The sequence below is a fragment of the Homo sapiens genome, chromosome X (genome assembly GCF_000001405.40).
Source record: "Homo sapiens chromosome X, GRCh38.p14 Primary Assembly".
Taxonomy (NCBI): domain Eukaryota; kingdom Metazoa; phylum Chordata; class Mammalia; order Primates; family Hominidae; genus Homo; species Homo sapiens.
This window is the reverse complement of record NC_000023.11, coordinates 115,177,036-115,189,228: the sequence shown is the minus strand read 5'-3', so window position 1 is coordinate 115,189,228 and position 12,193 is coordinate 115,177,036. Positions and strand designations below refer to the sequence as shown.

The 12,193-nt window shown below is 37.0% G+C and overlaps 1 protein-coding gene across 4 annotated transcripts in view; it reads left to right on the top strand.

Moving 5' to 3' along the window:
* LRCH2 (leucine rich repeats and calponin homology domain containing 2) overlaps positions 1-12,193 on the top strand; it is a 123,481-nt gene that overhangs the window by 44,868 nt on the left and 66,420 nt on the right. For all 4 annotated transcript variants that reach the window (XM_006724724.4, NM_001243963.2, NM_020871.4 and 1 more), the window contains exons 2-5: positions 859-1,003; positions 4,692-4,818; positions 9,478-9,583; positions 9,666-9,802. In XM_006724724.4, the coding sequence (XP_006724787.2) occupies positions 859-1,003; positions 4,692-4,818; positions 9,478-9,583; positions 9,666-9,802 (515 nt within the window). The remainder of the gene's footprint in view (positions 1-858; positions 1,004-4,691; positions 4,819-9,477; positions 9,584-9,665; positions 9,803-12,193) is intronic.

Below are 12,193 nucleotides of genomic sequence, written 5' to 3'. Positions count from 1 at the left end.
CCAGAGAGGTAGGAAGAGATCCCAGAAGTGTAGTCTTCTAAGCCAGAGGAAAATAATCTTTCCAGACATATGGAATGGTTATTGATATGGTGGTTGTTGGTTACATTGGTGGATGTGAGAGTGGATAGAAACCAAATTGCAGTGGGTTAAGAAGTCCATGGTAAGTAAGAAATTTAGTTGTGTTGTGGGTTTATGTGAGTTTGGCTGTAAAAGAAGAGGCAGATGGAGGGGGTTGTGGGATCGTGGGAGGTATTTTTGTGTTTGCTTTTAAAGATCAGAGATAATTCTTCGTTGGTATTTTAAAAGACAAATAGCATATTTGGAATTTAGGTATACTGAAGCATATCAAATACATCTGGTTAATAAACATGCGTTCTATGAGGTTTTTTTCTTTTTTTGAGACAGAGTCTCGCTCTGTCACTCAGGCTGGAGTGCAGTGGCGTGATCTCAGCTCCCTGCAACCTCCGCCTCCTGGGTTCAAGCGATTCTCCTGCCTCAGCCTCCTGAGAAGCTGGGATTACAGGGGCCCACCATCACATCCGGCTAATTTTTGTGTTTTTAGTAGACACAGGATTTCGCCATGTTGGCCAGGCTGGTCTCCAACTCCTGAGCTCAAAAGATCTGCCTGCTTTGGCCTCCCAAAGTGCTGGTATTACAGATGTGAGCCACCGCGCCCAGCCGTATGAGTGTATTTCTAAATGATGTTTTTTGCCTTCAAGGTATTGATGGATAATATTGTATATTTTAAAGTATTTTAAGTAGTTGCTTAGATTCTAAGTGATTCAGCAAGTGTGAAAATAGTTCTTTTAATTACCATAGATATAGGTATATGTTTAATACTCACTATTTTCTTTTCAGATCTTTCCAGAAATCGTTTTACAGAAATTCCTTCTGATGTCTGGTTATTTGCACCCCTTGAAACATTAAATTTATATCATAATTGCATCAAAACCATTCCTGAAGCCATTAAAAATCTGCAGATGTTAACATACCTTAACATTAGGTAAGGAAACAATTTAAAAATAAATTTTGGTTTTTATTGTTGTTCTAATCCTTTTTTAGTCGCAAAGGAATATGTTTGATTTGGCTGTGTAGCTTAAATTTATCTCAACAGTATCTTATTTGTGTTTTTTATATGTTCACATTATTTTGTAGGCTTTTGTCTTGTTCTTGAGAGCAGAGCTTAGCAAACTTTAACACACAGGAATTACCCGGGGATCTGTTAGAATGCAGATTCTAATTTCTTAGGTCTGTTATGGGGCCTGCATTTCTAACAGGCCCCTTGGCAATGCTCATGCCTACCTGCTGGTCCTTAGACCTCAGTTTGAGTAGCAAGGCTTTAGACCATAAATATTTCCTGAAATTATAGCACCACGATACAGATTTTATATGCATCCTTAGATATGTGAAACAAACAGTGCTTGAGTTATTTTTTCTCACTTTTGTGACTTCTTGCTTCTACTTCAAGGATGGTTAGAGTGGGGTGAGAATGTTGAAAGGTTTGGAAGTGGATGACAGTTCATGTTTATACTTAGTAAGTGCTTACCATGTGCCAGGCAGTCAGTGTTCCAAACGCTTTACCCATATTACCTTATCTAGTTTTCATGACAGCATTTTGAGATAGGTACCATTGTTATCCCTGCATTACAGATGAGGAAATTGGGTTAAGCTATTTGTCCAAATTCATAGATATATTCAGCAAGTGGTAGAGCCAAGATTAAAATCAAAGCAGTCTGGCTATAGAGCTCTCATTCATACATAGCTTTTACCCTATATATGTAAAAGAATGAACACTCAGTAAGTATAAGAAAAAAACTTTCCCTGCCAAATCAGTAACATTGAATGAAAATTGATATATTGTGACTTAATTTTAGAATTTTTTTCTTTTTTTATTCAGTTGGAAGGGATAATCTCCTCATTAACCAAGTTACTTGTCTAAATTCCCATATAGAGAAGTAGTAAATATAATTAATATACATAAATGATAATGTTCCCTTCTCACTGTGATATATCAGTTCTTTTGTATGACTCCCCCAGTGGTGTTACCTGACAGTACAAGCTATTTTAACTGAAACCACTTTACACCTTAAAATGTGTGAGAGAAGTTTCCTGGCTGGGTGCGGTGGCTCACGCCTGTAATCCCAGCACTTTGGGAGGCCAAGGCGGGTGGATCACGAGGTTAGGAGATCGAGACCATCCTGGCTAACATGGTGAAACCCTGTCTCTACTAAAATTACAAAAAATTAGCCAGGCGTGGTGGTGGGCGCCTGTAGTCCCAGCTACTGGGGAGGCTGAGGCAGGAGAATGATGTGAACCTGGGAGGCGGAGCTTGCAGTGAGCCGAGATCGCGCCACTGCACTCCAGCCTGGGTGACAGAGTAAGACTCTGTCTCAAAAAAAAAAAAAAAAAAAAAAAGTGTGAGGGAAGTTTCCTTCCAAAGATATCAATCATTTGGGTTGCTCCTTTCTCTAAGTAGGTATAAATCTCCTTGGCCTGGCTTAGGAGAGGTTTGAGGAAAGTGAGGTATTTTTAAGTTTTGTCTTTGTTTCTGTTTCATTTTGTTCTTTTGCGGAAAAAGTGATTCGCCAAAAACTGAATTACACTTCTCTATTAACACATATGGTAATCTTAGTTTTACTAAAACTTTCTCTGATTCTATCCTGTCACGATCTGTAAAAGTCAACTTTGATCTTTTTTTACAGTCACAAAAATTTTTGAGCAAACTATATTGAAATAACATTTGTTCTAGTGACTGAATTCTTCTCTAAGGCATGTAGTAAAATAGTGACAATTAATAATTTATTTGCCGGTATTAAGAAACCAGATTCTGGTGAAAGATGATTGTGTTAACTCAATGAATATGCATTTTTTTTTTTTTTTTTAGACGGAGTCTTGCTCTGTCTCCCAGGGTGGAGTGGCACCATCTTGGCTCACTGCAACCTCCGCCTCCCAAATTCAAATGTTTCACCTGCCTCAGCCTCCCAAGTAGTTGGAAGTATAGGCGCCTGTCACCAGGCCCGACTAATTTTTAGTAGAGACAGTGTTTCACCACGTTGGCCAGGCTGGTCTCAAACTCCTGACCTCAAATGATTTGCCCGCCTCGGCCTCTCAAAAGTGCTGGGATTACAGGCGTGAGCCATTGTGACCGGCCTGAATATGCTTTTTAAGGGAAGAAAATAAATTGATTTTTAAGCTATTTTTGGCCTGAAGATGTATTAGAATGAGTTTGCCATTATTTCTTCCATGTATTTATTTATTTTGGTGAAAATCTCTTAATAAACTTGTAAAATAATTTTTCAACTCTTCTCTCTTCCTATATACTACCCCCCTTTTTCAGTAGAATCCTGTAGAAAGATCCTTGTGTGCCCTGGTATGAAGGGACCCAGACTGACCATTTTTCCAAGGAGCCTGCTTCATCCTGAAAGTATGAAGGATTATGACAGGACCCTAGCACATTTGACATTCCAGCAGTCTGGCCATTATTGCTTGTTGAGGGGCATTGCCATTTTTTTGTTTGTTTGTTTGTGCCGTGTTATTAAAGCCAGTCTAGTATTTCTGGATGTCCTTTGCCAGAGAAAAGATGGGGAGGAGGGTCTTTCAAGTCCCCCTTGAGTAACACTGGACTTTTGTTGCTGTGTATGTTACACGAAATGCTAGGTATAGGTCTATAAATGACACTTTGAAAAACAGGAAAAATAATAGCTTATCGCTTACCAGTGCTTGTTAGTATGTAAATGGAATGGAAAAATATACATTTTGTTAGTGGTTCCTTTGGGTCAGTCAGTCTGTTTTGGCATATAAATTTGACCATAGTACTTTGAGGGCAAAGACCCCAGAGCCAGATTGCCTGAGTTTGAATCCTGCCTCTCCCATTTAACAGCTGTGTGACTTTGAGCAGTTTACTTAAACTCTTTGTGACTATTTCTTCATCTGCAAAATGGGGATCACTGTGAGAGTTAATTCACATGACCTGCTGCAAAATGAGGATCACTGTGAGAGTTAATTCACATGAGCTGCCCTGAACATGGCCTGGCAATAGTAGGCACTCAGTAAATGTTAGTTATTATATTTAAATGTATCTACAGAGATAAGAATGTTTTATCAACTTTGAGCTGAGATAAAGGTGCTAATAGGCTGTTAAACCTTAAAAGGGAATGGGTTAGGGTTACTACATGTTTTTGAAGATATAGTCCTATTCACTCTTTTATAAACTTAAACATAGTGCATGCACATTTATCCCTGGAGACTTTCCCTAGCATGGAAGTATTGAATATACCAGAATTATATCAAGGAGCAAAGTTCTGACATTATTGAGCTCGGAGGAATCATTCTGGGTTTTTGAGAACTGATGGTGTGTGGAGTAGTATCATAGGTCTGCCTGCATAGGGTTTGCTATGCTATGGATCTCTGCTGTAGTTGGGCAAATCACTTAACCAGTTTTAACTTTCATTTTCTGATTTGTATAATGGAGATAATAACTACTTAATCTTGTATCATTAACATGAGGATTAAATGAGACAGTGCATATAAGAAATTTAACACTGTGCCTGATACAAAGTGAGCACTCAGCAAGTACTTATTAAGTTATTACTTAGTGATAGAATATTATTTACTTACAAAGTGATTTCTTCGTTTTTAATATGTCACATTACATACATATTCTCGTAATGAAACTTTCTCATTCTTTTCAGCCGAAATCTTTTATCAACATTGCCAAAATACCTATTTGATCTTCCCCTTAAAGTTTTGGTCGTCAGTAATAATAAACTGGTATCCATTCCAGAAGAAATTGGGAAGTTAAAAGATTTAATGGAATTGGTGAGTAACTTAGTTGTATTAATTAATGCAATATGCGTAATATATCTACATTTTGGAAGATTACCTATTTTTAATGGAATTTAATTGTAATTTTTAAAAAAAGTACTAACTTGGTATATGTCTAAATTCAGTAAGATTTAGTAAAATCTTGAGATACTATATGTCTGAGTTTTTCCAGTCACAAAATAGCATGGTTCTTCCTTAGTCCTTGTGACGTCAGAAGGCTTGCTTACAAACTTTAAGAAATACTTTTCAAATGAATAAGCATTTGTTTACTCATTTTGTGGACAGTAAAGGTCTTAGAGGAAAGCTAAGGGAATTTTTAAAATAAAACTTTTATAGGACTATGATATATCCTTAAACAAAGGAGATAAAAGAAGAGAGTGTCTGCAAACAGAATTAGCAACATAACTCTTCCTCACTGTTTGCTTATGTGACGTTATGACACTTTTTAGACTGAAATAAATGGTAAAAGGCCATTATATGCAATTGATTGTAGAAATACAGAATAATTTAAATTAATTACCTTGGACATAACATTTTAGGTATTAAAGGACATTGAATTCTGAGAGAAACATATTCAGAGCCTCGAAGCTTTCAGCTATTTTTCATATCTTCTGGTTACCTCCACTTTACGCAGTATACCATGCTTCATGTTTTTCTTTTATTTTGAATGATGCTTTCCTAATAAACAGGTATTTTTAAAGTTTTTTTTTTGTGATAGAGTCTCGCTCTGTTGCCCAGACTGGTGTGTAGTGACATGATCTTGGTTCACTGCAACCTCCGCCTCCCAGGTTCAGGCTATTCTCGTGCTCAGCCTCCCAAGTCGTTGGGATTACAGCCATGCGCCACCACACCCAACTTATTTTTGCATTTTTCGTAGAGATGGGGTTTCACTGTGTTGCCCAGGCTGGTCTTGAACTCCTGGCCTCAAGTGATCCACTTGCTTCGGCCTCCCAAAGTGCTGGCATTACAGGTGTCAGCCACTGTGCATGGACTAAAGTCCTAAAATATTCTTATGTATGACTTTATTATGTCCGGGGAGGTCAAAAGTTTTCTTGAGGAACTTACCTACAATTTCATAATGAGAAATTAATATTAACAGAATGTAATGAGCAGAAATTTCAGGAATACCTTTTATTCATTAAGGAATACCTGCATGTCCAATTATAATACAAGGAAACTTCCTTGAATTTCACCTTATGTTTTAGAACCATATAATTTTGAAGTTATAAAAGATCTTAGAAGTGATCAGATACAACCACTTTCTAATGTAGGAATCCCTGATACATCTACTGTATATTTTCAATGGTGGACAACTCTGTGTGTGTGTGTGTGTGCGTGTGCGTGCGTGTGCATGCGTGACTGTCCTAATTCTTCTTTGCAAAACTCTATTTGTTATTAATCTTTCTTATTTTGAACCAAAATACATGCTTCTATCATTTTTTTCCATTGGGCCTGGGACTACCATGTGAAGAAATATAGATAATGACAACTTCTCTCCCCTTCAGATATTTGTAATCTGTTGTGTGTTTACACTCCATTTTACCAAACTCTTTTTTTTTTTTTTTTTTTTTTTGAGACGAAGTTCACTCTGTCGCCCAGGGTGGAGTGCAGTGGTGCGATCTTGGCTCACTGCAACCTCCACCCTCTGAGTTCAAGCAATTCTCCTGCCTCAGCCTCCCGAGTAGCTGGGATTACAGGCACCTGCCACCGCGCCCGGCTAATTTTTTGTATTTTTAGTAGAGATGGGGCTTCACCATCTTGGCCAGGCTGATCTTGAACTCCTGACCTCGTGATCCACCTGCCTCGGTCTCCCAAAGTGCTGGGATTACAGGCGTCAGCCACCGCGCCCAGCGTACCAAACTCTTAAGATGTGTTTTTCTATAGCTTAAACATCCTTATTACCTTTATTCCTTTTTATGACTTTTTACTTTTAGCTAATTCGATTTAGAAAATGTTCCTTTTAGTTAAAGTCTCACTTAATGTTGTACTAAAAAATGAACAGAGATTCCAGATATGATCTAACAAGTTCATAATAAAAGGTACCATTATTTTGTTTGACTTGAACACTATTAATGTTTTTCCAGATTTTATAAAGGTTATAATTTAAGATTTTATGTCTCCGTAATTTATTTGTTTTTAATTTAGTTTTTGGCCCTACGTTTTTAATTACATTACATGATGTAATTTTTAGATAAATGAAATGTAAAAAATAATTAGGAGTTTTATATTAATTCTAGTACAGTTGTCCCTCTATGGGGGATTGGTTCCAGGATTCACCCCATACCAAAATCCACGAATGCTCAAGTCTCTTATATACAATAGTAATATTTACATATAACCTAAATACATTCTCCCATATACTTTAAATCATTTCTAGATTACTTATAATACCTAATACAGTGTAAATGCTGTGTGAGTAGTTGTTACGTTGTATTATTTAAGGAGTAATGACAAGAAAAAAAAGTTAATATATGTTCAGTACAGGCACAACCATGCTTTTTTTTTCCTGAATATTTTTGATTTGTATTTGGTTGAATTCATGGATGCAGAACCCATGGATACAGAGGACCAACTGTTTTTTAATTTATGTAGAAAATTCTAAAATGTTTAACACTATTATTTTACTAGGTACTGTAAAATTATTATGCTTTAAACTCTTGAAATCAGTAACAGTAGATGGGTAGATAGCATTAGGAGGGCTAATTGACAGTTGTAAATCACATATTGAATTGGTGGATATTCCCTGTCATTGGAATATTTTCTCTTGATACTTTTCCACATCATGTGATAATCAACTGCAATGAAATTCTGTCATTAGAAACCTAGGAAATACTCTCTGGCTTCCAATCCTTTGCAGACTATTTTGTAGAGCACCCACTGGAGTGGGTTCATTTCCTATGCCTGGGTTTATTTCTCTTGGGAAATGACAGCTATCTCTCAAATTTCTATGGATTTTCCATATGGAAATCATAAGTATCAAATACCTTTAGAAAGAAGCAATAATGTTTAAATAACATTTTCACAAACTTCTATTATCCATCGTTTGAATAGTAGTCTATTCTGAACATAGCAGCTAAGGTGATCCTGTCAAAATATAAGTCAGATCATGTCAATCCCATGTTCAAAAGTTTCTGGATCCTGCCCACATCTCTCAGAATAAAAGCTAAAGTCATATCCCTCCCTCTATTCTACTCTCTCCCTTGCCCATTTCCCTCTAGTTACACTGGATTCCTTGCTGTTCTTTGTACCTGTCAGGTGCGCTCTGCCTGAGCGCCTTCACTTTTATTGTTCCTTCTGTCTGGAATATTCCTTTCTTATATATTAGTATGGTTCACCTTTTAGCTCTGACAGTACTGCTCAATATCACCTTCTCTATGAGATAAAGTAGTATCCCTCCCCACTATTGCGAGCATAGCCATTTTCCTACCCTGTTATCTTTTTTAAATAGCACTTATCACCTTCTAGCATATTATATAATTTACTCCCCTTGCTAGCATGTAAACTCCATGAGGAGCTATGACAGCAGGAAATTTTGTTTTGCCCCTTGATAAATCCCCAGTCCCTGGAACAGTACCTAGCAAATGTTAATAGTATTCAACAAATATTTATTGTTGAATGAAGATGCCTTAGATATTGTTTGAAAGAGGTATGTAGGATATATTTTCCTAATCATCTATAGCATTATTATATTCTTCCCTACATGGTTTTAATATTATTTTGAAAACTGAATGTATGTACTATTCTCCTCCCTCCAAGCTATTATCATTTTCACTAAAAGTTGGAAATTGGGGGCAGTTGCATTAGAATATGAATTTCATTTGAAGTGTGTCTGGAATGATTACTGTCTGAGACCATGTTGTAGATTTCTCTTTTTTTTGTTGTTGATGTTATTATAAGAAAGAGGGGAGAGAGCACAGTTAACTTAAACTGTTCTTTTTTCTGTTTTTTTTAATTATGATAATAAATAAAAACCTCAATTTGTTATTATGGAAACTTGATATCGTTTGCCTTTAAATTGGGGCTTGGATTTTAACCACAGAGATTTCCTGAGAGACACCTTAGATAACCTGAGAGATTTCCAACTCAGATCTCTTAGAATGTCTTTGAGCTATGAGATGAGTCACAAGTGTTGGGGCTTGTAACTTCTCATTTTGTATCCCTTTGGAGAAAGAGATTTAGTTAAATCAATCTTTATCATAGTCTGTTTCGCCAGTGCACATTTATAAATCCTTGACTTTCTTAGCTTCTGCCCAGCCAAGTATCTCGAGACAACTACTGTAATTGACAGATTACACAATGTTTGAGAGTTGTTAGTCTTTTACTTTACCTCCACGTGAAGAGTGCTGGATCATTCTTACTTCTGGTTTTGGCTGGTATGAGTTGGCCTTTAGTTGAGATTTTCGAGAGGTTGTAGTTACTAAGATATAACCTCAAATTTTTGTATGGGAAGTTTCTATTTACTGTACTAGGTCGGCTTCATGATGTCGTATAAATAGAAATCTGCCAGATAATCCATCTTTAGAGCAATGACATTAGAGGATAACTTTTGCTAGCTATTAACCATGTGCTTTAATTTAAAAATTAGAATATATATATATAATATATGTATTTCTCAGTTAGCTTGTTATAATTCTGTTTTATTGTTCTCCTTAGGATATTAGCTGCAATGAGATTCAAGTCCTTCCCCAACAAATGGGAAAATTACATTCACTTAGAGAGCTAAATATAAGAAGAAATAATCTTCATGTTTTGCCAGATGGTAAGATGTTCACTGTTTTTACTCACATGAATAAGAGAGTAACTATGTAAAATTTAATTAATTATTTTTCATTTCTGACCAGAATTAGGAGACCTTCCCTTAGTCAAGCTGGATTTCTCTTGTAATAAAGTGACCGAAATTCCAGTTTGTTACAGAAAGCTGCATCATTTACAAGTAATAATTTTGGATAACAATCCATTGCAAGTACCACCAGCACAGGTTTGTAATAAAAATATTATAATGTTTCTTCTCATTTTTATTCATAATTTTATCTGTTTATGACTGGTAAATCAAAAAGCACCTAAATCAAGAGCCAATTTGTTGTTCAAGCACTGTTGTCTAAAGTTTTTCTGAGCATTGCCTTTTGCACTTTGGTAGGAGTTTTAGCTTAGGCTCTAGGATAGCATTTGGAAAACCCAGATAATAACTTTCTGCTTGTGAACTGATAATTCTGGTTGTTAGTTATTTACAAAAGTGACTCTGAAGTCTCTCTACCTATTTCCCACTCAGGTATATATCTACTTGGGATTTGTTGTGGGATTGATTGGAGTACATTCTTGGCACTGAGAGATGGAATTATAACAGAAAGAACAAAATACAAGTGGAAAATATTAATTATGACTTTTAGTTTAGTGAGGATTAAATCCATGTGGAATCCTCTTAAATGATAGTTAAGGAATAAACTATGATATAATCCCCTATGGACAAAGTATGAAAGAGAAGAAAGAGGACAGTGGGGAAGAGATGTCAATAGAATTTCTGAAAATGGAAAATAGAATAGTAGAAACAAGTACCTTTACTTAGATTGCCCAAAATTATTTGGCTGAGGAGCAAGTAGCAGTGAAATGGTACTTTATGCTGTGTGCCCTGGCAGAGGGTTTGCAGACATCCAGAAGAAAGGTCTTCTTTTTCTTCCTACAAAAGTACATTCCACTCATTCTAAAGGGGTTACCTTTTCTAATTCAAATAAAGACTGGCTAGAGTCCTGGTGGTAGCAACCTTAGCAGAATGAAGAAAGCTGAAACTTGTGCCTGCTATGGGAGAAGGCAATCAGATTCAAGTTGATTTACAGCGTCAAACCTGGGAATGGCTTGAGTATTGGAGGAAACATGTAACTCTGAATATAGGGATTAAGTACTGAAAACATGATGGTTTGTGGAATGTCTAAGGCAGTGCTGTCCAGTAGAACTTTCTGAATGATGGAAATGTTTTATAATCGACACTGGTCCAATACTGTAACCACTTGTTTATGTGGCTGTTGAATGCTTGGAATATAGCTAGTGCAACTAAGGAACCAAATTTTAAATTTTATTTTAATTTGATTTATTTAAATTTAAATTGCTGCATGTGACTGGTAGCTCCCATATTAAACACCACGGCTCTAAGATTTACACCCTCAGATTCTTGCCCTCAGCCCCACAGCCACAGACCATTCCTTACTTGCATCAGCAGAAGTCCGGAATTTATTCTAAGGAGTAGGTAGATCCTTAGGTTTTCTCCGTTAGCTCAGTGGCCAGATGATGACTCACTTCTTGCCTCAGCAGAAGACTGGTGTTTACTCCTTAGAGAAGCACCATCCCATTTGTACTTGCTGTGGTGATGAGCATGTTCTGTATCTGCATTGTCCAATACGGTAGCCATAGTGGCTACTGAGTACTTGAAAGTGTATAGTGTGACAAAAGAACTGAATTTTTATTTTATTTAGATTTGATTAATTTACATTTAAATACACATGTAGAACACAAAACCAAACACCACATGTTCTCACTCATAAGTGGGAGTTGAACAATGAGAACACATGGACACAGGGAGGGGAATGTCACAAACTGGGGCCTGTGGGGGTGTGGGGGGCAAGGGGAGGGAGAGCATTGGGACAAATACCTAATACATGCGGGGTTGAAAACCTAGATGATGGGTTGATAGGTGCAGCAAACCACCATGGCACATGTATACCTGTGTAACAAACCTGCACATTTTGCACATGTATCCCAGAACTTAAAGTAAAATAAATAAATAGACACATGTGGCTAGTGGTACCCTATTGGACAGTGAAGCTATAAAGGGATTGAAACAGAGTCAGGGGCTCCAGGTACAGCTTATATAGCAAGAGCGAGACCGCATACTGAAAACAGTGAATGGTTGCATACTGAATGTTGAGACGCTCCAGTTTGGCTCCCAGAATGCTTGCAACCTGTCTTACATATTTCAGGCAGAATTGGTGGATTTCTTCCTTAGTAAACTGCAGCAGGAGAAGAGACCTATCTATATACTGAATTTTTGGAGTCACCTGATGAAATGGCTAGTCTGTGTCTGATCACCAGATAGATGGAAGCTCACCATCAGGAAACTTCCCCATGCACACAGAGCTTCCAGTTTGTTTTTTATTATCCCTTTTGGAAATTAACAGACAGGTCGGATGGTAGCTCATGCCTATAATCCCAGTACTTTGGAACTTTGGTAGACTGAAGTGGGAGGATTGTTAGAACCCAGTAGGTTGAGGCTGCTGTGAGCCCTGATCACACCATTGTACCATTGTACTACAGCCTAGACAGCAGAGTGAGACTCTGTCTTTAAAAAAAAAAAAAAAAAAAAAAAAAAAGGCTGGGTGCG